The sequence below is a fragment of the Homo sapiens genome, chromosome 14 (assembly GCF_000001405.40).
Source record: "Homo sapiens chromosome 14, GRCh38.p14 Primary Assembly".
Classification (NCBI taxonomy): domain Eukaryota; kingdom Metazoa; phylum Chordata; class Mammalia; order Primates; family Hominidae; genus Homo; species Homo sapiens.
Window position 1 is genome coordinate 36,653,792 of NC_000014.9, and position 27,535 is coordinate 36,681,326.

The following is a 27,535-nucleotide window of genomic DNA, read 5'->3' on the forward strand; positions in this document are numbered from 1 at the left end:
TTAATTTAAAAACATTTTATTGATGAAAAATGTGAATCATATGCAAGCAGCCTTTTCCCCCCCTCTCTCGTTAGAAAAAAACACAACAGTTTGTACCTGCTGGCAAAATTGGTTTACTCTGCAAAGATGGTACTGTGTTTTACCCCTCCTGGCTTATTAAAGAGTTAAACACTTTTGAAATTATATTTATTTCATTTTTACATTTCTCTTCCTTAGCCTCTGTGTGTCCATTGAAAACATTGTTGGGTCCTTTAACAATTTTCCTAGAACTGCCTTCCAATCGTGTCCATGGAGAGGTGGTTATACTCTGTTCTCCCAGTGGCTCAGACACGCAGCTTGTCTAGAAAGCCACAGCCGCTGTGGAGGAGGTAAGAGGTCAGCTCTTTCGTTGGTCCTGGTGAGGGTAAAATTTTTAGGCAGGAGGAGCACTGACTGGCAAAGGGAAGAGGAAAGGGTTCGCCCTGGACCCCACAAATCCGCCTCTTGGAGCAAACAGCCTGCAGGTAGAGGGGCCTATTAGAGCCTGCCCAGTTCCCGGGAGGGCCAACCCCAGCCAGTAAGAAGACCTGAGGCGTAGGATCCCTGCGCAGGAGGTTGCAGGAATGCCCCCGCTAGCCGCAAGGTTCCTGCTGGCCTGTAGAGCTTTCGTGATCCCCGCCAAGATGCGAACAGTAAGGTCCTCGTATGGATCGCAGTTTTTGTCCGAAACCTGAAAACACTAACTTGGGATTTCGCAGTTCTGGCCCTCGGGCCCGCCTCGGAGGCGCACCCCCAATCCCCACGGAACGAATTCCGCGGCTAAAATGCATTTTCCCAAGGCAGTAAAAGTGACCCCTGCACCTAACAACCTTTGGGCTTTCTCTTCTCCTGACTACCACCTCTCGCAGGGTGCGCTGAAATCTCTTTATCGTTATCGTTTTTTATAAATGAAATGATTTATTTATTCGCTGTTTGCAGGGAATGAAAGGAGTTGATCCTGACTCCAAGATGCATTCCAAAGAAAGAAAACGCAACTGTAGCCCGGACTCCGCGGAGGAAGGCCAACTGACTCCACTACGTGCACTTCCGAGCCACTTGGGCCCAGCTAGCTGTGTTAATTATGGGTTCTAATTTTATTGCAACTCGGCACCTCCTGGTTTGTTCCCACTATAGTGGTCTTAAAAAGAAACACACACAGGCATACCCCAGAATGAATCCCCGGGAAGGCAAAGGTAGATTTTTTCGGTGCTTGAGTTGATGCTCTGAGAGCGCGCTGAGAGTCTCGGGCATGTCTTGGCACTCTTGGAAACAAATTGCAGCCAAGAGCACGGTTCTTCCGGTCCTCTCCTTGCTCCTCTGTGCGCCGCTCGGCCGCGGGACTCCTGGAACATGTTGTGCACCGCCCGAGTGGCTGCGGACCTCACCTCGACGCCCTGGATAGCCGGGGCCAGGAGGAGACGAGCAGGCAGTCTCCCGCCCTCACCTAGTCAGCTGCGACCTCCGCGGCGTGGACTCTTGGCCAGCAGTGAGGAGGACAAGGTTGCAGATCCTCTTTGCTGCGGGTTCTGGGTCCGGCCTTGGGCGGCATTCTGTCTTCTAAAGTGTGGAGGTGGGTAGAAGAGTGTCCACTTTCAGTGTAGACACCTGAGGTATGGGGGCTTCTTTGGGGGCTCCAGCGTGAGCTGCTCCTGCAGATTAGGGAAATGGAGAGAACAACAATGGGGACATGGTGGAATTCAGATTTCCCCCTGTTAATTAACAATATGATTTCGCTTAGTCCAAGTGTCTTCTGTGTTCTTATTTAATGTCTCTTGTAAAATGGGAACTAGAATAATACCTCCTTGGTATGGTTGTTGTGTTTGACGTGAGCCCTCAACAAATGGTAGGATGAACTGGAGAAGAATGGGTCCATCACTCCCCACACCCTTCCCTGCAGAGCTTCTTTGCTGTCTCCAGCTCTCCCGCCCTGACGCAAGGACAGCTCACAACCAGTGTCCTTGAGTAGCCCCTGGGGGCCGCAAGAGAATCCGCCCGGTAGGGCATAGAAGATGGGTTTTCGGTGAATCGTGAAAAGACATGATCGGGTTTCCCTTGGAGCATGGTGGAGAATGATGCGGAGCCTTGGGGTCAATGGAGAGTTGAGGGTGCAGAGGGATCTGAAAGGGGGAACCAAAAATATCGGGCTTTGAAATTCTGTGGATTTTCAAAGGCGGTTCCCAACCTTGTCAAAAACTACAGTGGGTGCGCGATCTAATCTGGCTCCTATAGGTGGCGCTGTGACAAGGTGCGGTGGCCGGGAGAGGCGGCTGGGGGACTCGAAGACTGCGGGAAATTTTCTGCGACTCCGACGCTAACCCGCTGCTCCCAGCCTCCGCTTCCTGTTTTCGAGGGATTAGCTAGGACTGTGCAACACCAGTCTCCGCTCTCGGAGTCGGCACGGGGGCTGGTGGGTGGCGGGATGAACTCGGGGAAGGCGACAGGCTGGAAACGCAGCTCCTCGACTTTGCAGCGCACCAACCCCCTATCGCCCCGTCCGCTGCTCAGGTGCGAGGATTCGCCAGACGCCACAGGACTGGGGGCGACTCGCAAGGGCATCATGCCACCTAGAGGAAACGCGCAGTGAGTGAGCCCTGGGTCACTGAAAATGGGAGAACGTTCGAGTCGGTCAAGATGACTCCGGCCTGCGAGTTGATTCAGACTCCTCGGAAGCCAGAAATTGGGTCTAGAGTGGGTTGGTCCCTCCGTCAGCAGTTCGGGCCCAGCCGAAGCTTGGGGCCTAGAGGGCAGACGTCCGGCTCTGATCAGAGTACAGCGGGCTGGGCCTGGCAGCCTGCAGGCAACCTGGACCTTGCAATAAAGCTGCATTCAACATAACTCAGACCACAGTGGGAGCCCCCGAAGGGCTTCATGTGAGTCCCGAAACCAGAGTTTAGAGGCGCGGCCTGGTTCTCGTTTATCTTTTCCAGACAGCATTTAGGCCAATAAGGTCTTTGAAAGGAGGCAGCCCCAAAGCCCTCAGGCCGACACCTGAGGGCAGGGTCTCAAACAGCTGTGCTTGAAGAACCGGCAATCTTGCTTTTCCCACACGCAGCTGCACCTCTCCTGAGCGCTGCAGCTGATGGCTGTATAGTGACCACGGACTGCGTCCTCCTCACGAAGCTGCGCAACTTCTGCTAATGCTGCAACCCTGGCAAGACGAAATCCCCCTCCCTCTGGCTAGATCAGCCCAGCCTCCCCTCAGGGACCTTCCTGCCCCTCCCTACCCCTCCCTACCCCTAGGCCGCTCCCCCCTTCCTCTGTTGGGATCCGATCCTTGTTCGCTCTTGCAATCCCGCAGCCCGGAGTTTTGCCCCGTGCATTAAAACATGTTCTCTTTCATTTGCAGATTTAATAAACAAACGTAACCATATCACATGGAGCTCCACACTGTCCTTCTGAAAGCAATTCCGCTGTTGAAAACTGAAAAATGGGTGTAATTTGCTTTCAGAAAGTAATGTTAGGGTCACGGCAATTTCTCGGGCCGTTATTTATTTTTACTTTAAAGTCTTTAGGAAAGATTTGCTTATATGCTCGGAAAACTTCCAAATGCGCGAATACCAGCAATCCCGCTCGCCTTCAACGCGTGGGGTAAGGGGGGGTGGGGAACAATTACTGAGTGACGCTAATATGGGGAAACTGAAAAGAAATGTCGATTGTTTTTATTGTAATAGAAGGAGTGAGCAAACAGAAAAACCAACCCCGGGTGATCGGAAACAGGCAGGCGGAGAATTAAAAGCGGGTTTCAGACAGCAACAGGCCCCTCCCCTGCTCTCGCAAGGAGAAAGCGGGCGACGAGCGCTCGCAGCCCGTGGGGCTGATCCCACCTCCCGCAGGGCTCCGGTCGTGTCGCTGTCGGACCGCAGAACGCCGGGACGCATTTCCGAGCTCGGGCCCGACCCAACCCGCTGCCATTCTAGCTACCTAGTGGAGCCGCGGAGAGACTCTTGAACCGTGAGGCTCCTTGATGAGAAGGTGGAGAGGCTGCCGGGCTATTCTCCGAGCATCTTCCGGCCGAGCTCTGCTCCTCTCCGTGCGCTTGCGGCTTCTCCTTGGGCTAGCGCGTCCGCAGTCCCTCCAAGTCCAGGCCGCAGGTCAGTGTGCGGGCGCCTCCTGTCCTCCTCTCCCACCAGAGGACCCCTGAGGGCTGTCTCCATCCCCAATCCCCGCGACTGCTCCTTTTAGCCGCCATCCCCTCCCGCAGCGCAGATCCTGCAGGGGCCAGCGGTCCAGGGCGGACCCTCCCTCGCCCTGGGCGCGGGGCGAGCTTCTGGCTGTCACTTGCCGCTGCAGTTTCAGGGAAACTCAGCTGGCCGCTTACCCTGCAAGACGGGGACATAGCAGAGGGCCGAGTTCTGGAGAAGCTGGGCTTGTTTTTCTCTCTGCACCGCGCGCAATGCCCCAACTGACCCTGAAGGGTCTTGCCTTTACTGCATTTGCCCCCAGACGGCTAGAAGTCAATGCACTATGAAAATCCCAGTCCCGGACCTCGGACTCTGGCTGTCTTACAATCCCTGCAACTCCTCCGAGTGGACAAGAGGCGGGCACCGTCGCCTGGGCCTCGCTTGGGGGGGGGGGGTCCTGTCCCCAGCAGGGGGCAAGTTGGAGGAATCAGCTCCTTAATATTTTCTGCTAGCTCTGCTTGTCATAACTGCAACTCGGAATAGAACAACCTCTCTCCCGTGCATACGCACCCCCAACTCTCGCCCTATCCTCCCATCCACAGTCATCACTGACCTGTAGACCCGGAGGAGCAGGCTTCCGGGGGTCGGTCCAGGTTGGGGATACAGGGAGGGGTCCTCGCGTTCCGCACAACCTGTAGTGCTTGGGTCTGACTTCGGCAGCCCTCGGGTACAGTCTGCCGGGCTAGATTCCCGTTGCTTCTCCGCGTCTCTCCGCGGGCCGCTCTAGCGCCGGGAAGGGGGCGCCGCAGGTGACTGCCCGCGGCACTGGGACGGCTGACAGATTTATGGAGACTTCACAGCATCTGGCTGGGGTCCGCGAGGGCAGGGCGGAGTCCGGTCGATCCGATGCTGGGGTCTAAAGCTTCCCCAGCCACACGCCTGGGCCGAGTCGCCCCCAGAGTCCCCGGCCCCTGCTCCCCTTGGGCGGGTGTACACAAGGATCCGGCCAGCGCCGAGTGTACTGGTTCCTCCCACCCAGTGTAGCCCCCTCCTTCACACTCTCGGCCCGGCTTCCAGTCTCCCACTGAGTAAATATTTATCCAGAGAGCGAGTCGCCCCTCGGAGGAGGCCTCGACGCGGCTAGGGAAAGGCTTTTTGGCTTCTCCCTGGCCTGAGCCAGCTGCAGGCCTTACTGGTGTTTTGGTTTTGGTCTTAAATTTCTCCTTTTAGTCGAAATTCTTCCGATCTCTTTGAGATCTTCTGAGTCCAGAGTGAGCAGTGTAACCAGGCGGCAGACTCCAGCTGACCCTTGTTCTTGTTCTAGGTCCTGCATCCTTACATTCATCGGGACTGACCAGACCTTAGTGTTCTCTCTTTTCCTTCCTTCATCCTCTTTCTCTGCCTCAGATCCGTCGTCTCTCGGTCGGTCTCAGCGGGTCGCTGACTACCTCGCCCTAGCACTCGGTCCGCGCCCCGGGAAGGCTTCAGCATCACCCTCTTCTGCTGGGATCCCGCTGACCCTGTCTGCAGCTTCGGCTTCTCTTGCTCCCAGAGCGGGGTCTTCGGCTTGCCGCGGATACTTAGTGGCCCAAAACACCTAAAATTGACTCTTCCTGCGCTCTTGAGAATGCCAAGAGCACCCAGTACCTGCAACCGCCGGCATGAGTGGGGCCTGCGGGGAGCCGCCAGAGCTGCGGACAGGCCCCCTGCCCACTGAGTTGCTACCCCTGGCACGCCCAGGGGATCCGCAGCAGCTGAGGCCACATGGTCACAGCCAAGTTCAGCAGGTGGAAAGGGAGAGATGGCATTGAACCTATGTGAGAACTGGGAAGATGTGTGGCAGCTGAAGGAGTTGGTAGGAACAAGAGGGAGTTGTATGTTACCTCCATATAACCAGAGCTCTAAACCATATCAGTTTCTGAACCAGTCTAGGCTGGTGCTGCAGAACTGCTAAAGCTCTCGCAGAGTCCCCAGACCCCCCGCGGGACATGAGGTCTTGCCTGTTCGTATGCGAACATCCTTGTACCCGCCTAGCAGCCCTGCAGACTGCAAATTTTCCCTGGGTGCACGGAAGTAGAGCAGATTTGGCGCAGAGGTCGATACTCACTGCCTGTCTGTGAGGGGGGAGGAGGATTCCTTCCTGGTCAAGTTGCCGGGCATGTTCATTCCCTCCCGCAAGCCTAAGGCAGAGTCATAAGCTCCCCTACGATGCGGCAAAGTCTCAACTAATTTATCTACCAGCCTTAAGAAGGAGCTGCTGCTTCTAAAATCTTTAGATTTCCGAAGGCTCTCCTTGTGTAAAAATGCCAGGCGGTGCCACACGATGTCACCCAACAGGTATTGGAGGTCAGACCAGGCTGAAATTGCTATCAAGTCAAACTTCAAGAAGATTTTAAACATTTGAAACCAACCAACAAAAAGGGACAAGTTCAAGTATGTCTAGTTGTGGGATTTCCCCCAAGATTCCGATTCTAAAGAGTGGTGTTTTAGTTCATCTTTACCTTTCACATCCTCCATTCTGTTAGGTAATTTTGAATTTAGAGTGCATCCTAACCATAGAAGTGGGAATCTGGAGATCTGTTCCTTTGCAGAAGCATGGCTGATCATAGTTTTTTCCTGGGTTCTTGCAACTTACTGACCTGAGATCTGGGACCAGTCAGCTTCTCTGGGTGTAGACCGCAGCCACACACATCCCTGGGGACTGTTGGGGAAGCAGCCTGAATCCTGTGTGCACAAGGAGCCTTCTGGATTGTCAAGTAGCAGTAACAGAGTTCACGACCCCAAGCAGTACAAACTCCCAAATTCACGAAAATATTTCTCTTCTTGTTTATTATTTTGATTCACATTCTCCACAACCCTAACTGCAAATATTAATAACTTTGGCTGCAAAAAAGCATACGGTACACTTTAGATTAGACTTACAGTGAATAAAAGTGAAAATTCAGAAGTAGGCAGAACGACAGGGCCTCTGGAGCTTAATGGAAGACGAGGGAATTACATCCATGTGCAGCGTCGGTGTCCACTGTCTTGGGACTAAGTCTCTTTCATATTTAAACAAAACTCTTTCGAGAGGGCTCGCTGGTTTGGAGAACCCTCACAAACGCTGCCACCGAGGGCCAGGGGCCCAGGACAGTGGCTGAATGTGGCAGAGCCTTGGGCTCCGTAGTGAGTGCCCCACGCACTGGCAATTGGTCGACTTGGGGCTGTGCGCTAGCGTTAGCCGCCTGTGGTTCAGTTCCCCGCACACGGCGTGGCCCGTGCCTCGAGCCTGTGTGGCTAGTGGTTGGCCGGTCCACCTGGACTGGGGGGTCGCCGCAGGAAGCTGGCGGTAGGAGGAACCTCCCTGGCCTTAACAGTGGCCCCCACCTGTGGCTCGGGCTCCCCGCAACCTCCTGGTTTCTTTGGCCGGCCTATCTTCTCACACCTGCGCTCTCGCCACCTGGCATGGACTGAAGTGAGGTAGAATCGGCAGGTGACACAGATCCTCTCCTGACAGTCCCCAGAGGCCCGCATGACAGATTTTGCTAAGACAACTCCCTCACCCCTGTGCACGGTGGCGCCCGCCTCCCACCTATAGCCTTAACTTCAATTCTGAGATGTCCATCGTTCCCCGGAGGAGGTCTCCTCGGGCCCCTTCTCCCTTCGAGTCATTCACATTCAGACCAAACGCTTTCATTTGTTTATTCAGCATTTTACCAGCCTGATTTTGCTGTCTTTTTGTGCCGCTTCTGGGAAGATGTCAAACACCCATTTTCATTGTATTTAGTCACCCAGGTGGGGAGCTAGCCTGAAAGAGACAGCGGAAGGAGTTTCCTGGACTGCGCTGTCGCTCACCGACCCGCACCAATCACCATGCAGCTTGCCCTCGGACCCGCCCCTTTTAGGGCGTGTCCCCAGTGAGTGATAGACGGAGCCGCCCTGCCCTGCTCAGCCCAGCCCACGTTGCTGCTTAGATTGAAATGCAGAACTCAAGCCTCTTTCATCGGGGCACAGACTTCCTTTTACTTCTTCCTTTTGCCCTCTCGCCTCCTCCTCCTGGGAAGAAGCGGAGGCGCCGGCGGTCGGCCGGGATAGCAACAGGCCGGGCCACTGAGGCGGTGCGGAAAGTTTCTGTCTGGGAGTGCGGAACTGGGGCCGGGTTGGTGTACTGCTCGGAGCAATGGGTGAGTGGCGGCGGGGGACTCTGTCAGAGCCGGGAAGGGAGGGAGGGAGCGAGCGGGCAAGGGAGGGAGGGAGGGAGGGAGCGCGAGGGCGCGCGCCACTAGGCGCTCACATTCTCTATTGACTTTGCTCGTGTTCCTACAAGTTGTAGGAACACGCTAAGGGTCAGCGGCGCACAGCAGTTCAATGTGAACGCTGGCTACTGGGTGGCTGTTGATGCCATTTTCTGATTTTAAGAGAAGGGAGCTGTGGCATCAGCGAGCCCCTCAGCCCGAGTAGCAAACCAAGTTTTGTTTCACACGCGCGCACACATGCAAACAAAACAGGAAAAGAAAAGAAAAGAAAACAAACAACAACAAATAAAACACCCTCTAGCTTCCCCTAGACTTTGTTTAACTGGCCGGGTCTCCAGAAGGAACGCTGGGGATGGGATGGGTGGAGAGAGGGAGCGGCTCAAGGACTTTAGTGAGGAGCAGGCGAGAAGGAGCACGTTCAGGCGTCAAGACCGATTTCTCCCCCTGCTTCGGGAGACTTTTGAACGCTCGGAGAGGCCCGGCATCTCACCACTTTACTTGGCCGTAGGGGCCTCCGGCACGGCAGGAATGAGGGAGGGGGTCCGATTGGACAGTGACGGTTTGGGGCCGTTCGGCTATGTTCAGGGACCATATGGTTTGGGGACAGCCCCAGTAGTTAGTAGGGGACGGGTGCGTTCGCCCAGTCCCCGGATGCGTAGGGAGGCCCAGTGGCAGGCAGCTGTCCCAAGCAGCGGGTGCGCGTCCCTGCGCGCTGTGTGTTCATTTTGCAGAGCCAGCCTTCGGGGAGGTGAACCAGCTGGGAGGAGTGTTCGTGAACGGGAGGCCGCTGCCCAACGCCATCCGGCTTCGCATCGTGGAACTGGCCCAACTGGGCATCCGACCGTGTGACATCAGCCGCCAGCTACGGGTCTCGCACGGCTGCGTCAGCAAGATCCTGGCGCGATACAACGAGACGGGCTCGATCTTGCCAGGAGCCATCGGGGGCAGCAAGCCCCGGGTCACTACCCCCACCGTGGTGAAACACATCCGGACCTACAAGCAGAGAGACCCCGGCATCTTCGCCTGGGAGATCCGGGACCGCCTGCTGGCGGACGGCGTGTGCGACAAGTACAATGTGCCCTCCGTGAGCTCCATCAGCCGCATTCTGCGCAACAAGATCGGCAACTTGGCCCAGCAGGGTCATTACGACTCATACAAGCAGCACCAGCCGACGCCGCAGCCAGCGCTGCCCTACAACCACATCTACTCGTACCCCAGCCCTATCACGGCGGCGGCCGCCAAGGTGCCCACGCCACCCGGGGTGCCTGCCATCCCCGGTTCGGTGGCCATGCCGCGCACCTGGCCCTCCTCGCACTCCGTCACCGACATCCTGGGCATCCGCTCCATCACCGACCAAGGTAGGGGCTCAGAGGCTGGGCGTGTGGATGTGCAGCGTCTGCCCCCGCACTCTCGCGGAGGTCCCAGTATCTGCAGCCTCAGGGACACTGTCTTTCCCACCACCTGAGGCTTTTTCCTTTGGAAACGTAAGGAGTCTTCCTAGGGGGTGTTCTGATCTCATTAACTTGAAACTCATGCCCCTGGTTTCCTTGCCACACACAGTCTTCTGCCTCATCTCAAACTACCAGACCCATAACATCCCCCCATCCCCAACACATGGTTCGCATTTTCCACCCTCCCCCGCCTCTCGCGCCGAGGCAGCCTCAGCCCGGCTTGCTCACTTGGAGAGTGCGGCCGGGGCTGGACTTGGGGCGCAGCCCGGGAGGCCCGAGCCTGCTTGGGGCTGCCGGCTGCAGACTCCGCTGTGGGCAGAGCAGCTTGCTTGGGGATCACTACGGCCGGGAGAAGTCTGGCCGGGAGGAGTCCAGCACGCCTTGGAAATTGAAGTATTCTCCGATTCTGGTAATCAGGCCAAATTTGCTCAGGCAGGAAGTTCAAATGTCACCTAATTGGTTTCGTTCTTATGCTTCACTTCATTTTCCTCGGAAATGGAGGTCCCGAAGTTACTACTAGTAACTTGCATGTAACTCATTCCCAGACGAAGTCATATTCACATTCTCTCTCTCTCTCTTTCTCTCTCCATTCACTTTCTAACTTAACAGACTTCACTGTATATATCTTAGGAAGGGAAGTGGCATCAGCCACTGCAGTGATGGAGATAAAATGCAGGCAATTCCATGCTGTCCTTTTACTGTTCTTTTCAGTTTTCCCTGAGCCTGCCACTTTCCTTTGGGGTCCCCGGGTCCCCGGGTCCCCGAGAATGCAAGTGGATATCTATCTAGTTCCTGCATGTTTTAAGCAGTGCCACCCCACTGTTTCTTTCCTTTCTCACCCCTGACCTTGCCTAGTCCTAAGCGTCCTTTCTGCCTTGTCAGAAGGATTCCCCGAGCCCTCCTGCCCAGTCCGGCTTCCGCAGGAGACCTGAGTTTGTTTTCTTTTACTGAGTTTTTTTTTTTTTTTTTAAGGCGTTAACTTTTTTCTTGGTAGGGAGAAAAGAAAGTCTGAATGACCTAGATGCAGAATTTAAATAATGTGTAGATAGTCCACTTTCTTAATTTCTCAGCCTAAAGTTTTAAAAGTGTAGAGGAAAAATTAAATAGGAAAGGGGGAAATAGTTTCTTTAATTACTTCCTGCCTTTCTTGGTTGCCACCACATTGGCACAATTATCTTTTTAAGTAATTAAAGCAGGGCTCTGATTTCTCATCTTCTTGTTTTCTGACTGCAAGTTTACAAGAGCCCAGTTTTGTCTTATTTGGAGCTACTTGGAGCCATAGTTGGAGAGAGTTTGCCCTTGATTTATAGGATAAACTGACCTCACTGACATTTAAAGGAAGCCCCTGTTCATGGGAAAGTGTGAGATCAGCAGAAATGGGGGCTCACAGGGGGATCTCAATTTCTTAAGATAACTTCAAGCTTGTGCCCACCGACTGCCTTTTGTCTGGGAAGGCAAAGACAGACAGGCAGTTCTGGACCAAAACACAGTTTCCTGGTGCAAATGGGACTCAATCTAATTCTTGGGGGTGGTAGAGGAGGAGACATAGTGAAAAAAAAAAAAAAAAAAAAAGGCTGACAGAGTTTAAAAGAAAACTTTTCCTGCCTAGGGATCCTACCATCAGAGCAAATGTCAGTTGGGAAAGTATTGGAGAATGGAAAGGAGCAACTTTTCCTTTCAGATATTATTGTGATTTTGGATGCCAGCTTTAAACAACCCAGTTTGTGACACATTTGTGATTATAAAAATGATCATTTCTACAAAAATGCTCACTCTTTTAAAGCACTGTGTTAGATGGAAGTGTTTAAAATCAAGTTACAATGGCTTTGCCAAACCACTCCTCCACCCATAGGACCCAAAGACAAACATACATTGTTTGTAGCCTTCACATATCTCTTTGAAACTATACCTGGTCACTGAAAAATGCCAATAATTCAATATTCTCAACCCCAGGTATTATAGTAATTACTTTACACCATACAATTTTCTTTGCATCTCCACCAAGAACAGAAAGAATAACTGATGGCATTACACCTTAACACTTAATTTTACTTTCATTTTCTTAACCTATTTCATTTTCTCTTTCTTGTATATACATTTTTTAAACTCTTTCAGGAAAACCCTGCCACTAACACCCATGGCATGTATAGTGGTAATTGCAAGATTTATTTTTAAGTCATATGCACATATCACATATGTAATGTGTAGAGGTAGTGTATCAAGGGGAGCCCTATGCACACACAAAGCAGAAATCTGTGCATGTATATTTTGCACTGTATCGTGGGAATAATTTAGTTATTTGTTTGCAAAGGACAGTGCAGGTCTTTTTGTTCTCTATTGACATAAGTACCAGATCCCCACAGTGCAGTGAGCACCAGTGCAGGCACCCTTAGGTCAGACGCTCCTCTCTTTCTTTTCAGCCAGCCCCACTGCCAAATTGTTGTCAACCCCCAGTCGGCCTTGGGTTAAGAATGAGGAGGTGGAGAACGGCACGTGCAGCCTTAAGGGTTCCTTCTCCGATTTAGGTTTCTTCCACTCCTTTGCCCTGGGAGAGCAAAGGGGCGAAGGGAAATCAAAAACCGGTTGAAAAAGAAAAAAGTGTCTTCCCTCAGGCGTGGGTCAGAGAATTTGGAAAGGCCTACTCTGAGGGGAGTAAAACTTCACCAGGCCCTGGGCTGGAAGCACAGGAGGTCGCGGCTGGGCCCAGCGCCCTCGGGAGGCCAAGGGCAGGGAGCCGACCCAAGGTCTAAGCCCTCCAGCTCTCCGTCGCGGGTTTGGGTCCCGTCTCAAGAGTGGGGCGCGCGGGCTGGGCCTCCGGCCTGACACCCTCTCTTCTCTCCATCAGTGAGCGACAGCTCCCCCTACCACAGCCCCAAGGTGGAGGAGTGGAGCAGCCTGGGCCGCAACAACTTCCCCGCCGCCGCCCCGCACGCGGTGAACGGGTTGGAGAAGGGAGCCCTGGAGCAGGAAGCCAAGTACGGTCAGGTGAGGAGGCGAGGGTCAGGCCAGGTGGGCCGCGTGGCGGCGGGGATTTAGGCGATGGAACACTTTGTGATGGGTCCCTTTCTGAGCTTCCCGCGAGAGAAGCCCAGGCTGGCGTCCCTTTGCTGCTACGAGCCAGATCCTTCGTGGACTGGGGCGAAGCAGAGGCCTGAGCCTTGGAAGGCGGAGCTGGGGCCTCGACCCCCGCCAGGGGCCGGGAGCGCTCGTCAGGGCGCTGGGGGTCTGGGGCGGCAGCTCCCCGGGGCGAGGCTCTGGGAAGCGCCTCCAGGCCTGTCGGCCTCCGGGAGCTTGGGGAGGCGGCTCCCGAAGCCCTTTCGGCGGCTCTCGTTGGGGGTAGAGTTAACCAAAGAAGGCGCTTCTGAAGGGCCGAGCGGAGCAGCCCTGGGGCCTCAGAGCCGCGCCTTCACGCCCGCGAAACGCGCGCCCCGGGTCTCGGCCCCACGGTGCGACTGCGGCTGCGGGGTCCTCACGTTCGGACTTTCTCTCCGGTGGCTCTCGGACAAACACGCTTGGCCAATCCTGCGGAGAGGGGCACCCAGATAAACGTAACAAAGCTACCATTTTCTCGACTAAAGGTCACATTGTAATCTCCCAAGGAAGTTAGTGAGAAAACCTCAAATTATACGGACTGGCTGTGGACCGTTTAATTTTTCTTTCCCTCCGTCCCTCCCTCATGTCTCCAAAGGAAAATTTAAAACACTCGTGTTTTTATTTTCCCCCCGAGAAAAGCTAAACAACCACCACAACAAAAGCCCCAGATTTAAGTCTAAATTCATCACCGTCCTGGAGTCAAGAGTTCAAAACTCTCAAAAAACCGGACCTTAAGGCAATGTAAGGTTTCCCCAGCAGACCCCAGTAGGTTTGCAAATCTCTTAATCCCAAACTCAATTCCAAAGCCTCAAGCTATTCAGTTTTCCTTTTATTATTTTGAAGACTTAAAATTTTTAATGCTTTTTTGTCTGTCAAAATCAGCTTTTAAAATTAAGTGGAATTTGTTCCTCTTATTCACTTGAAAAAACATCTTAGTCATTATTTTCTGTAACAAATCCCATTTCCACTTCCTCTTCCCTCTCTTATTTTGTTGAAATAGAATCAGAATACATATTAGTGGCTCTCCAATGGCAAATAACACAGAAAATAGCAAGGAAAGAGAGCCCTTTTCCTTAGTCTGTTTCTACTGTGAAGAATGTCAATGAGAAATGATAAGGAAGTTTGTCATTTTCTTTTACTAAACGACCCACCCTTAATTCGTAATTTGCAAAGAAAAGGCAGAATAGTACAATGGTTAGGAGCTCCGATCTCTGGCTGTACGACTTCTTAGGAAAATATTTAATTTTTAGTCTCTATTTCTTCATCTTTAAAACAGGGAAATGATATTCCCAACCCAGAGATGTTATGAGTATTCAATGAGATAATGCAACCATATGGCACATAGTAAGCATTTATTAAGTATTGTCTGTGGTTCTAAGTGGCAGTTAAAAAGACACGTGTAAAAGTAAGTAATATTTATCAGAGTATACTTTGTTCTGAGAGACCATAGTCAAAAAGCTTCAAGAGATTTTGTTACAAACAATAGAAAGAGTGTATATAAAGCACCTACCATAGAAGCAAGCATTTAATAGGCGCTCAGTGCTTTTTATTAGGTCATCATTGATTGGAATAACATTGTGAAGTATAGAGTTGAAAAAGTTTCTAATTCCCACATGTCATTGATGAACCCAGTTTATATATCAAGCAGTCATAATCCCAAAAAAAACCCTTTATACTTATTATTTATTTATTTATTTTGAGACGGAGTCTAGCTCTGTCGCCAGGTTGGAGTGCAGTGGCGCGATCTCTACTTATTGCAGCCTCTGCCTCCCGGGTTCAAGCGGTTCTCCTGCCTCAGCCTCCTGAGTAGCTGGGATTACAGGCACGCGCCGCCACACCCACCTAATTTTTGTGTTTTTAGTAGAGAGAGGGTTTCACCATGTTGGCCTGGCTGGTCTTGATCTCCTGACCTCGTGATCCACCCACCTCGGCCTCCCAAAGTGCTGGGATTACAGGCGTGAGCCACCGTGCCGGCCAGTAATTTTTATTTTCTCTTCCTTGAATTATAGATCTAACATTGAAATTTGTTTGGAAATGCTTAATTTATAATACACTTCAAAACTAAACTGACAAATTATTTAAAATAAAAAATTTGAAGTTTTAAATAATTGATATTCTGATTATTAAAAATAGATTACATTTTATATACTAAATTTTAAATCACTAAATTATCACATTTATAAAAGAATATAATTTAAAGAAATAAGTAACCAAATAAATATTGCTCTAAATACTTAATAAGCTATTTTTTCCAGAATAAAAATATTTATATGAAACTTACATTTGCGAAGTTCTTAATTGCAATATGCTAATCTTCTGCATTGCAATGTATTTAATAGTTAGATAATTCAAATGATGTAAAATTTCAAAACCTGAAAAGTTTCTAAGAATAATATAAATTAGTGGCTACTCTATGATAATTATCAAAATAGTGCTTAATGTTGAAGATGTGCCAAGTTCAGCCGTGCCATTTTTCTGAGCAGTTTTGAACTTTAGACATTGATTTCATGTAAGGTTAAATTGCACATTAATACTTGTTTATAAACATACAAAGGTAAAGTGTTGCCCATATATGTGCATTTCTCTTACCAATATTCAAAGGGCAGATTTATTTTTAAAAGTTATTTTTCAAAATGGAATCAGCATATTTCAACCAAAATGTAAACTCTGGTAACACGTATTTTTCCCTCTGCTTATATTATGGACAATAACTTGAATGTCTTTGGCCAAAAAAAAGCTTTAAAATTTTTCCCACTTTCAGGGCATTTGTGATTGTTATTAAATAGTGCAAAATTATATGATACTAGTTTAATTTTATTATACAAAGAAGGAAATTGAGAATTCAGAATCATAGAGCTTAAAGCATATTTTTCTTGAGGACATCTGTAGAATTACCAAAGGGCTAAACTATGCAACTGAGTATAGATACTATTGATTACCATAATCTAGAGTTTCTATTTTCAGCTTAAACTGTAAAGACAGATGTCCTGATTCCTAGTAATTAAAACTGTATGCACATTTCAGCTATGCATATACCTATCTTTTGTCTTTGAAAATTCAGTGTAGAATATTCTAACTTGTCTTACATATTAATATTACATTGTAATTAATATTTTGCAGTGCCATTCAGAAGTCCTTATTGTCTCTGAGGATAGAATATTTATTTTGGCTTTTTTATACCCACAGTTAATATTGGGGCTAGAAGTACTTAATTCCATTTACTTCTGAATGGCAACAATGTTCTCTGCTTCCTGATGGCCGGTTCTCTTCTGTTGAAAGCATAAAACTCCAATGGAATAAAATTGAGTGGCCAAAAAACCTTATATAGAGAATCATAGGGACTGGAATACATTTGCCCTTTTAGGAAGTATTTCATGAATTAATGCCTCAATTTTATTCAAACTATATATAAATAATTGTATAGTTCTTGAAAAATTTTCTACAAATGGGCATACTGTCTCAAGAAAGATACATTGCATATCTGATACTCTAAAGTAATTGGAGTGACAGATTTATAAGCTTTGGGTATCTTCATTTTGGGGTTGCAGATATTAATTTGGCAAGTTTAATATAACACTAGCTACAGACTGAGATGTCAGAAATAGAGAATAGTCTATAAATACTTGAACTTTTTAAAAGTTCAGAATTAAGTTGTGAAAATAGTTGAATTTAAAGATATAATCTGAAATTCTTATGAAGCATTTACTTGCACATGCATTTGAAGTGAAGATAGTCTTCTAGAATCCTGAATGTGATTTTCTAGTGTATTATTTTAAAAACTGGCTGTCCTTGTGGATGTACTATTCTCAGGAAGATATAAATGATATTGCACTAAATTTGTCTTCATATTAAAGTTAATTTTTGTAAATAAGTTATGATTTATAGACAATGAAATCTTAGGCAAATGCCAGCAGAGTGTCTTTGAAATTCATAATGTTATCTGTTATGAAAAACATTCTTTGACCTGGTTACATTTTAACCAGTAGTATTTCAAAATAAAATTAATGATCATGTATCAGTAAAATGTATTGTATAAAATAGCAGGGAAAGGTAATTGCAAATTTTTCAAGGCTATGTCAATTTTAATAATATTTTGGAAAATTATAAAATTTAGAAAAGCTTTTAAATAGCGGCTTTCCATTTCTTAGAGACATTTACATCTACAATATGATAAGTAAGCATAATTAAGATCTTGTTGGATGAATGTTGAAACCATATTTATAACCATCATTTCATTTTGTCAGGTATGTTTTACTAGGTCATTGCATAATGCATTAAAAATGGAAGAATGACAGAAAAATGAGTTCACCAAAAAAGAGAAAATCTTGTTTATTTTCAGATCCAAAACTTTTTCTTGCTTATGATATCGAGGTTGAAATTCTAGGTGAAGCACATCTCTATTTGTGGCTAAATCTACTTTATTATAAAGCCAAGGTAAATTCATTTTATCATAAGAGGACCAGGTTGAACTGATAAGTGAAAGCAGATTGTGGGTAGAGGACCTGGCACTGTTATTTGCATTTATCTTCACGATAAATAATGTTGAGTAGACAATTCCCAGAATTTGAATAATGGTCTATAACCTCTAACTGCCAGACATTTGCCATACCAGTTTTATGGTGGTCACAAGTGTTTTGATACTAACGTATTTTCCTTTACTTGGAGGAGGGAGGATAAATGGAATAACCATAAATCAAGTAATAAATGGCTAGGTTAGAACTTCTGTTTACTTTTTTCAACAGCTTTATTCATTTTGCTTGCTTAAAGTGTAATGCTTGTTTTGTGATAAACGGTGCCTACATTTTTGCTTTGTTTTTTAAGCTACAGTGTCACATCTTTTGCTTTCACAAACCTATACTAACTTAAATATACATATGGTTGTGGAATGCTTATGATGTATCCTGTTTTGTGGGGATACAAGATGATTAAGGCAAGTCCCTGTCCTCAGACAGTTTACAATCTAGCCCTCTGCCAATACAGTTCCTCAACATATTCACCAAAGTTACTTTTAAAAAATTGGTAAATCTGTATTTTGAACATTTGGAACAAACGAAATTAAAACTTGTACTTTCATTCTTCTTGTGATAACCTTAACTAGAAGAACTACATTGCATCTTATATATTTTTTTCTAGACTATTTCCGTTAATGTCAGTGTGATGAAGTTGGTCTTTTCCTAAAAGTATTAAAACAAAGCAGTAACTTACTTTTTCTAGGGTATGCAATTTAGTCTATTTTGCTTTGTATTAGTAAATCTCCTTCTCAAATTTAGGTAGAAGATAGTTTGCTATAGAGAGCACCCTTGCACAGTTCTTTCAGGGGAAAGAATTCTCATGCCTTTCATGGAAGATCCACATGAGAAAGGAGTTGATGGATTGAAGTCTTATTTATGGAATCTTTAGGTAAAGTCATTTTCAAAAATGAGATTTCCATTACATGCCCATTGCTGGGGTTTCATTTGGAAAATTTGTTTACTCTTCCCTGGGGATTCCGTATGTTGGTTGATTTATAAATCATATTTACAATCCAATTAAATAGAGTAATTTAGCATGTTTGCTCCCACTATATTTATAGTGTAGATTTGGTAGTCTCTACTCAGCCTAACTAGCTTTTCAGATTAATTACATGCCCTTCACTGAAAACATTAAACCGATTTGGGACGTTTAAGTCATGTACTCTTTTACTGGAAAGAATAAACAAACATCAATGCTACCTGTAGTTGTTTTCCTTTGCGGTGGAAAATTTTACTTTTTCAGTGATTGCTTCATAAATAACAATTACTTGACCCAGTAGAGATTTATATCTTTTACTAATGTTATGTGTCAAAATTAATAGTGAGAAAATTGATGTGTTTATTGAGTCACTAAAATGAATAAATAATGAAGGTGGCAGGAGGCAGGTAAATTTTAAAGCACATTTACTTGCTCCTTTTTTTTCTAAATTTATAAATCTGAGCTTCAAAAGTAAAAAGTAAAATTAAGACAAAACTCTCCAGACCCCCAAGCTAGGGTCATAATTTAACCTGAGAGAAAACTAAGGGCTATTTTTATACTGTTTAAGTTTAAAGATTTATGTTTGTTTTTTTTTTTAAGCAAACGTTTTAGCCTCTCCTTGCCTTTTTCTTTTTTCTTTCTTTCTTTCTTCCTTTTTTTTTTTTTTTTTTTTTTTTTTTTTTGAGATGAAGTCTCACTCTTGTTGCCCAGGCTGGAGTGCAATGATGCGATCTCGGCTCACTGCAACTTCCGACTCCCGGGTTCAAGCAATTTTCCTGCCTCAGACTCCCAAGTAGCTGGGATTACAGGCACCTGCCACCACACCCGGCTAATTTTTGCGTTTTTAGTAGAGACGGGGTTTCACTATGTTGGCCAGGCTGGTCTTGAACTCCTGACCTCAGGCAATCCGCCCGCCTCAGCCTGCCAAAGTGCTGGGATTACAGGCGTGAGCCACCGTGCCCGGCCGCCTTTTTCTATGAGATGAAATCAACCATCTCCGAGCTTCTCTTCCTACCCTGTCTTTCTGCAGTACAAAGGGATTGCATCACTAAAATGATACTAAATAAATATTGTGGATTTAAGAGAACTTTGAAATATTTAGTACTAAGAATAATGACATAAAGCAAGTTTGTGCATTAAGTATGAGAAGTTGGACAAACATGGAAAAATTTGCTCATTTTTTTACACTTGATAAATGAATGTAATCATGGAATAAATAAGGCACTAGAAGTTAATACAGGCCTAAATCCAATGTCCTGCCTGCCCCTAAATTCCAGGAACATTATCTAAGATAAAAGTTCAATGCAGCATGTCTCTGAGGGCCATCTTCCAAGTGGGTCCATGTAAGGGGACCATAGACATTGCAACAAAACAACTGAAGAGTCCAAGTAAATGGGGCAGATCAATGAGCAAGAGTTCCAAGGGCAAAGGTGTAAGAAAAGGGAAGATGACTAAGCAAGGATTTCAGAGAGAACTGTAATTTTGAATGATAGATAAAATACAAAGAAAAAAGAATGGGTAGGAAAAATTTAGCTGTGATGAAAAATAGAACTCGCCAACAGTTCTGTTCTGCTAACTAGAACATTGTTTCTGCCATGTATAATATTAAATTTTTTAACTTTATGTCCCTATATGATGTTGGCCAAAGATTTTTATTATTTTAGAAGTAATTTTAATGTTAGCATTCTTATTTCATTATTCTTAGTTCACATTGGCATCAGTAGTATAAAACATTAGTCAATGCTGGAAATGAAAATATTAGTTAACACCACATACAGATGTGAACACCTTTCCATAACTGAATTGGATTTATTTCTTTCCAAACTCATTTATCATAGATTATTGGGACAATTCTAAATAAAAATGATTAAAACTATAATCTCTATGCAAAACTAGATTTTTTCCCCTGTAATTTGATAGTTCTCTATCTTGATACCCATCTCCTGAGAGCCTTAAAGTGTGTCTCCTTTGAGACATAATCAGCCATTCTCAAAAAGTGGAAGAAACTATTCTTTTTTTAGAAGGGATCTGACAATGAGAATCATGTTCTAGGAGAGAAAAGAATTTGTTACCAGATGTTATCTCAAAAGATGCACTAGTTTTAAATTAAATTGCATCTATCTTTTAAGTGTTCAGGAAAAACAGTATGATATGCTACAGAGGACCCTGCATTGGGCAGGGGTGATAAATTTTTTTAACACATGGCCACTGGCTTGCCAATTGGTTGAGGGTACATGGCTAAACCTCTTAATCTATATCCTTGTATAAAAAGAGGATAAGATTTCATTTGTATTCAACAGTTATGTGCGGTAGTTTCTTGATTTAAAAAATGCAGCAGCATCATTCTCTGGGACCCTTAAAATACACTTTAATTTCAGTTGAACATTGTGTTGTATTTGTGACACACTATCTTGTAATTATGATAAACTCAATCATTTATAATGAACTATATAATTCATTAATACTCATTACTCAGTAAAATATGTTGGATATTTCTTGGTGCCTGGGACATAGGACACACTTAAGAAACTTTAGCTTCCTTTCTCTTTCCCTATTTTCAAAGAACCAACATTGAAAAACACAACATGAGGTGTTTGTTCTTACAGAGCATAGACACAAGGCTAACCCCTCTAATATTTTTCTTTTTTTGTCAGAAATGCATGAGTAATGTTGTCATACCCACGTATGTATTCTATTCCATGTACATATTCATTTACTCTGCATTGAGAAAATAGTTTTTGAGACCGCACCACTGCATTCTCATAGATGTAGAAGTGAAAACAATAGCCCAAATAAATTAAATTAGAAAGTAATTCCTGTGTTGCAATTGAACGGGAAAAAGTACCTAGCTAACATACATCTGATTAACTTAATTCTAAGGATTAAATCAATTTTCCTCATAAAATTCTAGTATTTACATCGTATTTTCACTAGGAAATATATTGAAATGGTAGTTCATTCATGTAACTATCAGGACACAGCATCTACACTTTATTTCTAAAGAGTATAAAAATTGAGGGGAAAAAATTAGACTACTTGAAGAAGGATGCCCAGTGTTCATGCCAGAATCAGGATTAAAAATCAGGGTGTTTTTAGTGTTGTTAATAGTAACGATACCAACAATAATTCACTGGATGCCAAGACAGCACTGGTTTCTCGGCAGGCTCGCCTGCCGGGACTGCTGCATTGTGTTTGCAAACAAAGATTTTAATTTCTAAATTCACTTCAAGAGATTTATCCACGTGGCTTTTAAAAACTCACATCACAGGACCCAAAAACTTTGCAAGCAAAATTTCCAGTTTCAAAACCAGGCATATGCAGTTCTTTTATATGGGGAAAGACAGTTTCCTTTCTGATAAAACAGTCCTGGAAAAGGCACTTGCAATATTCATTTAAAAATCCTTACAAGACAAAGTGCCTGATTTTTGTATGTCCTTTGTCCAACGGGCATTTTCAATATGATCTCTTAAAATATGGTCTATATTTTCTTTAACGAAGGTCGTGTTTGTTGTGCGTTTCTAACATGACAGGCTGCAGTCTGTGCCCTTCTTTACTGAAAATGAAAGTTATACCAACCAGGCCTGTCACAAGTGCCTCAACAAAAGAGCCAAACAAAACCCAAGTCCCAGGAAGGTTGACAAAGGCAATGAGGACAGCCGAACAGATTCTAAGAGTATTTAATTGCCATTAATTCTTTTCTCACCCTGCACCTCCTTCCTGTACTTCCAAGTGGCACAAGCAAATACTACGAATTTTCTGGTTGCAGCTTTCTCTAAATGTTTGTGGAAAGAATAATATCTTGTCATTATGTTTGTTTAAGTGGCAAGACTGTGAATGTCTTTAGAATATAATAAAGCTCAAATTTTTTTAAAAAGTTGGAGAGTAGAGTCAGAGCATTGCTGGCTTACTCAGACTTAAGTTCTGCTTCTTTCTAAGAACGTGTGAAATGTTCACTCCTATAATGTGATTATTTTTCACTTCTTTTCTACTCCTCTCAGGCACCAAATGGTCTCCCAGCTGTGGGCAGTTTTGTGTCAGCATCCAGCATGGCTCCTTACCCTACCCCAGCCCAAGTGTCGCCTTACATGACCTACAGTGCTGCTCCTTCTGGTTATGTTGCTGGACATGGGTGGCAACATGCTGGGGGCACCTCATTGTCTCCCCACAACTGTGACATTCCGGCATCGCTGGCGTTCAAGGGAATGCAGGCAGCCAGAGAAGGTAGTCATTCTGTCACGGCTTCCGCGCTCTGATGGGAAATTCCGTCTCCAGCAGCTTCACCCGGGTCTCCCTGTCTCAGCACCTCCTCCCCCAATTCCCAGGTCTCACATCCCACCCCTCCTGCCCTCCAACCCTTCTGCCTTGAAAGCTGGCTGTACGGACTCACATCCTTTGTGCTAATGACACTTACATATTTCTTGCCATAACTTTTCTCTTGCAGAAAAACTGACATGACTTTAGGATTTAAAAACAAGAGCAACAATAAGCATTGAATGAGACATTTGTGTTGCCCACATACTGTCTTAACATAACAAAGAAACCTACACCCCTCAAAGGGTTTAAGGAACTTTACAAACTAGTCTTTGGTAAAACCACATGTGTATATTTATTCTAAATCAACCTGAACTTTTGAAATGTGCAATTGTTGAGATTTTGCAAAATCAATAAAGGAAAATACTTATAGAAAAAATTATGCTACACCCTCTAATCAAATATGGTAACCAAGTAAGCTTTAATTCATCATTAGGAAACAAATCAATAAGTGACTTGTTTGAGTGATCCTTTGTTTAAGACATGACCTATTTTGTTGAAAAATATATGTAGAACCCAAGCAATATCTGAATCTAGCTCTCCCTGGTGTTTTGACTTGGTTCCAAATACAATAATGTTTATATTTTCTATTAGTTTGTAAATACGGACTCTGGATGGTGCATTTGTGTCTTCATTCCATAAGATATTCCCCTCCCCTCAGCCCCACCCCCTCTCTATTTTTTTCTTTCTTTTTTGCAAAGGTGACTTTCTGGCAACGTCTTTGTCTCTGTTTGGTGGTGGGCTGCTCGGGCTCCTGGACCTGGACTTGCCCCCAAATTTTGTGTATGCAGTGAAGGCTTCAACATCTCATGAAGGACACTTTATTTCTACAGCAGAGGACACGAAAAACAGATAAAACAAGCCAGTCTCCCATTTTGTACCTAATCAAACAACACACATGCTAAGCATATAAAGACAAGAGGGTGGAAAATATCTGAACAAGAAGGCTCTAAAGGAAGTCACTTAGAAACTTAAGTTTAATGTGAAATGTTTTGCAAAGATGCTTAAAATGAACTTTGTGTTAAGAAAACCACTGTGAAACTAAATTGTCCTATTATTGTTGGCTTACCTGTGTGTTCAGCAATCTCAGCCCCAAATAATGTTGTAATTTAAAGAAAATGGAAAATTCTGCTCTAATGAATGTAACAATGGCTTGCTGTGAAGTTTACATTGTTGTACAGAAGCATGTTTCGCATGTAGGTAAACTGGTGGTGGTACTAGAAATACAATGTTATTTAATTTTAACAAATTCCCTTTATTCATTTCTGAAATTACAGGACACAGTTTAACTCATAAACCTTTCTAGACCAATTTATTTTTCACTTTAATGTTAATAACAGTTGTGGAGTATATGTGTGTGTGAGCATGTGAGTATGTGTTGTATTTTAAAACAATTGATTTTCTGGGGCAAAATTCTACAGTTTTTAATCCCTTCTGTTTAGGAAGTTCTTCCTGTTTGGCAATATAGGCTTAAAAATATGTTTTTAGGACATTGGTACAATTCAGCTGTTGGAAAATTAATATATTGAGGGTTTTTTGGTACTAATTCTGTGCAATAACTAAAAGAGCACCTCACTGGATATGGATGTTGAAGATGGATTCCCTAGGTGATTTTAATTTCTTCCGGTCTGTGCTGTGCACAGTCTACATGGCAATGCGGTTCCACCACATCGGTTTCGTGGCTTCGTTTAAAACTCAGATGGCTAGATTAGTTAGGTTTTCAAATCACTAGGATGTAAACAGTAAGCAGATTTCTGACACACAAATTATGTTAGAGTGACTGCTTTTTTCAGACAGCAGATATCTTATAGAGAGCTTTGAACTGCATTTATTTCTAAAGCAACCGAAATTCAGTGCTACAAATAGAGGATTATAACTTCAGGAGAAGAATAAGCAGAAGGAGCAGATGAACTCTCAGGGCCATAGTCTTCCTTTGATCTTGTAAAACTTCCATTGACATCTGGAGTTCCCAGTCTGGTGAGAAAATAGACTATAAACTGAATGGAACAAAGATCCAATCCAATATTTTGGTGGAGACTTCTTTAAAACCATACCATACAGGGACTCTCCTGTCATCTGAAAAACTGATGTAAGGTACAGAACTATTCTTTATCAAATGTTTTTAGGTGGCTGTTAGGGGGCTTTAAAAAATATTACTTGCTTGTGTGGAAATGCAAATAATGTTATTTTCTTTATCTAAATTAAGAAATCTCTTGTTATTGTGCTATTTATAATTTTTTTCTGGTTCTTGTATTTTAAAAAATCTAATATTAATGGTATTGAAGTTTCCTTTTCTCCCTCTAGGTCTTAACAGTGAATTCACATGGAGTAATTTTTAAAAGATATCAGATACAATTTGCTATTCAAAGAAAATTATGATTTAAAGCCACTTTTTAAAATACGAGAAGGAAAATAGGATGGATTAAAGGGTTAACTTTTAAAGATTATTATTGGTTAATGTTGACATATTTCCTCTATCTCATAGATGGTAAAAGTGTTGCTTTTAAACTGGCAAATGCACTCTTCAGAAATCCTTTTCTATCTGATCCACATGGAGAGGTTAAAGGTTCAATTTCATGACCTCTATGCAGGCAGCGCTCTCATTGGATGTAAGAATATTACCTGCAAGGATAGAATGCAGTTGTGCAACAGAGACACATTCTTATTTCTTTTTTTTCACAATTTTGTTTTGTTTTTAATGACCCTTTTATTGAATATTGGACTGAAATATAAATTTTAAAAAACACGTTGGAAAGGATGTACAACAGAAGGCTATGTATGTATATACAGTATGTCAAAAGCCTTTTATTTTTATACTTCAAATGCTCTAAATTAATAAAAAGTAATAATTACCATGTTATCTTTTACTTTTTATTTTCAAAATGCTTTAGTGAAATAGCCCCGTAGTAGAAATAGCCCACGGTAGTAACTTAGGACAGGTGTCATATGGACTTTCAGTTATTCTTGTTGACTTTACTGAATCAGCATCATCTCTGGATGCAGATATAAAATCAAGTTTGGTTACATCAAGACCAAGGAGATATTTTTGTTGATACATGTTAGTATAGTAATCCTTAGAAATGCTAAGTGTATTTCTTTTTCAGAACATTTCCCCTTCATCATACATATTTTAATACTGCAGACAGCTGACTTCCCACCTGAAGTTGTCGTTTAAAACTAATAACCTGAAAATGCAGTTCTGTTCTATACATTCTTCCTAAAAATGGCACAGGTAGGCATGCTGAATAAAGGTATTTGGATGCAAATACTGATGGCTGACAAATGGGTCCAAAGGTGTTTCCAATTTGTGATTTAACATGACAATATCTCATCAACAAAACTTATCTTCAAAGAGAACTATGTGGAGGAAAGTAAATTTTATTTCATGTTTCCTACTTGTGTTAGAAGAGATTTGGAATACCTTGATTTAAACATGCTTAAACAACAGTGTTTTAACATTCTGTTTTAAACAATGTTTTAAAATACCTATTTATTATCTTACAGCAATATGAGATATAAAGTAGATGTAGGAAAATAGAGCTGATATGTGCATAGTTACTAAAAAAAACCAACAGATTTACATTTTAACATAGTATTCATAAAATTAAACATTCTTAAAAGGTCATTTTAGTGCACTTTAAAAAATTTTTCTTGTGCTCTTTAAATATTATTTATGGAATAATTTAATTCATTATAAAAACTGCTTAAATTTTGGCTTAACTTTTTTTTAATCCAGTCTTTGAATAATTTGATTTATTTTCAATAGTTTAAGCATTTCTAGACCTCTTAGGAAAAATGCTGATCAATACAATGAATTTTCATTGTGAAGCATTGAAGAGGAACACAGGAGACAAAGTTTCTATTTATTTTATGAAATAAATATATGATTTCTATGCTATTTTTCTATATTCACTTTAAATACCTCATTGTTTCATATTATTTTTTTCTTCTCACAGTTTTATTTATACAGCCAAAACTATAATCTCAAGTTGCCTATAGACATTTTTTAAAGTATTAAAATAGATTTTGTTCTTGAACAGTTTTCTCCTTCATAATTATACACCTGGCCGATCGATAGTCTCTCTTCTTCATGGTGCTGCATAGCAAATATCCATTATCTCAAGGGGGAAAAACACTTCATAGGCAATCACCAGTTCTCTTGAAGCCATGAATAGGTGTATTCATAAACCAGCAGCATCACTGCACCACCTAGAAAAGAAAAGAGCTGTTTTTTATTGCAAATCCTCTGGAATAGCACTGGCTTTCCCACTGGGTTTCTGAATCCATGATGTCTCGCACAGCCTGTCAGGCAGAGGCTGTTCGGAATCAACAGTTCTGGAGCTTCAATACCAAGATATAAACTACTGTGGAAAATTCTCAGGATAAAATCAAGACCATCTTGAGTCTCCAAATACATTTTTCCCCATGAGTTTTTGCAACTTTCATCATTTGTCATCAGATTCTTTTTCAAGCACTTTCAATTTTTAAAAGTAAATAAATATAGGCATATTTAGTCATGTAAGGGCATGTGGCTTTCCTGTGAACAGAAACCTTCAGATTCTTCATGTGTAGATAAAGGATTTATCTTTTTCAGTCCGTAATTAGCAGTCTTAATTGCATTCAAGAAGAAAATCTCTAAGATGGTGCTTGATGGATGAGTCTAGTTTTCTGTCATAGCTTTCAAACTGCATTGCTACGTGGAAATTAGATTCTGAATATTTAAAAAATCTGCATTGCAAAACCTAACAAAAGGAGGTTGAAAGCTAACCTTCATTCCTTTTATCTGCTTCAGTTGTATATGGATTTGAACTTGAAA

The 27,535-nt window shown here is 44.0% G+C and overlaps 2 protein-coding genes and 1 long non-coding RNA gene across 8 annotated transcripts in view, besides 9 other annotated features; 1 reads left to right on the forward strand and 2 right to left on the reverse strand.

The window, feature by feature from the left end:
• Window positions 1-4,958, reverse strand: LOC105370455 (uncharacterized). The gene is made up of 2 exons (XR_943758.3): window positions 4,753-4,958; window positions 1-1,667 (listed from the first exon to the last, which is right to left on the reverse strand). It is a non-coding gene; the product is annotated as an uncharacterized LOC105370455 (long non-coding RNA).
• Window positions 154-892: an enhancer, noted in NCBI's record as "H3K4me1 hESC enhancer chr14:37123150-37123888 (GRCh37/hg19 assembly coordinates)". NCBI's record gives its function as "activates a minimal SCP1, AML or CMV promoter by ChIP-STARR-seq in naive H9 embryonic stem cells {active_cell/tissue: H9 hESC(naive)}" and the evidence as "EXISTENCE:reporter gene assay evidence [ECO:0000049][PMID:30033119]".
• Window positions 2,299-2,368: an enhancer, noted in NCBI's record as "active region_8284". NCBI's record gives its function as "activates an Ori minimal core promoter by ATAC-STARR-seq in GM12878 lymphoblastoid cells {active_cell/tissue: GM12878}" and the evidence as "EXISTENCE:reporter gene assay evidence [ECO:0000049][PMID:35858748]".
• Window positions 2,369-3,106: an enhancer, noted in NCBI's record as "H3K4me1 hESC enhancer chr14:37125365-37126102 (GRCh37/hg19 assembly coordinates)". NCBI's record gives its function as "activates a minimal SCP1, AML or CMV promoter by ChIP-STARR-seq in primed H9 embryonic stem cells {active_cell/tissue: H9 hESC(primed)}" and the evidence as "EXISTENCE:reporter gene assay evidence [ECO:0000049][PMID:30033119]".
• PAX9 (paired box 9) lies at window positions 3,777-25,571 on the forward strand. Of its 2 annotated transcripts, NM_006194.4 has the most exons (5): window positions 3,777-4,109; window positions 7,906-8,302; window positions 9,106-9,732; window positions 12,671-12,810; window positions 22,407-25,571. In NM_006194.4, exons 2-5 carry the CDS (start codon window positions 8,299-8,301, stop codon window positions 22,659-22,661), a joined length of 1,026 nt encoding a protein of 341 aa, NP_006185.1. In that variant the 5' UTR covers window positions 3,777-4,109; window positions 7,906-8,298; the 3' UTR covers window positions 22,662-25,571. The 2 variants fall into 2 exon arrangements, with proteins under 2 accessions (NP_006185.1, NP_001359005.1); NM_001372076.1 differs by lacking the exon at window positions 3,777-4,109 and having other exon boundaries at window positions 8,069-8,302.
• Window positions 6,803-8,000: a promoter, noted in NCBI's record as "-1106 to +92 fragment". NCBI's record gives the evidence for it as "EXISTENCE:reporter gene assay evidence [ECO:0000049][PMID:20941745]".
• Window positions 7,012-7,071: a conserved region, noted in NCBI's record as "conserved region; includes polymorphic -1258 G>A site". NCBI's record gives the evidence for it as "COORDINATES:sequence alignment evidence [ECO:0000200][PMID:21443745]".
• Window positions 7,260-7,772: a transcriptional cis regulatory region, noted in NCBI's record as "ApaI fragment (-645 to -138)". NCBI's record gives its function as "may mediate response to retinoic acid and dexamethasone" and the evidence as "EXISTENCE:reporter gene assay evidence [ECO:0000049][PMID:20941745]".
• Window positions 8,537-9,048: an enhancer, noted in NCBI's record as "H3K27ac-H3K4me1 hESC enhancer chr14:37131533-37132044 (GRCh37/hg19 assembly coordinates)". NCBI's record gives its function as "activates a minimal SCP1, AML or CMV promoter by ChIP-STARR-seq in naive H9 embryonic stem cells {active_cell/tissue: H9 hESC(naive)}" and the evidence as "EXISTENCE:reporter gene assay evidence [ECO:0000049][PMID:30033119]".
• Window positions 9,049-9,558: an enhancer, noted in NCBI's record as "H3K27ac-H3K4me1 hESC enhancer chr14:37132045-37132554 (GRCh37/hg19 assembly coordinates)". NCBI's record gives its function as "activates a minimal SCP1, AML or CMV promoter by ChIP-STARR-seq in naive H9 embryonic stem cells {active_cell/tissue: H9 hESC(naive)}" and the evidence as "EXISTENCE:reporter gene assay evidence [ECO:0000049][PMID:30033119]".
• Window positions 9,559-10,069: an enhancer, noted in NCBI's record as "H3K27ac-H3K4me1 hESC enhancer chr14:37132555-37133065 (GRCh37/hg19 assembly coordinates)". NCBI's record gives its function as "activates a minimal SCP1, AML or CMV promoter by ChIP-STARR-seq in naive H9 embryonic stem cells {active_cell/tissue: H9 hESC(naive)}" and the evidence as "EXISTENCE:reporter gene assay evidence [ECO:0000049][PMID:30033119]".
• Window positions 24,130-27,535, reverse strand: part of SLC25A21 (solute carrier family 25 member 21) — a 494,686-nt gene continuing 491,280 nt past the window's right edge. For 4 of the 5 annotated variants that reach the window (XM_047431871.1, NM_030631.4, XM_011537288.4 and 1 more), the window contains one exon: window positions 24,130-26,928. In XM_047431871.1, the coding sequence (XP_047287827.1) occupies window positions 26,867-26,928 (62 nt within the window). In that variant the 3' untranslated portion in view covers window positions 24,130-26,866. The remainder of the gene's footprint in view (window positions 26,929-27,535) is intronic. The other variant, NM_001171170.2, reaches the window with a different exon arrangement.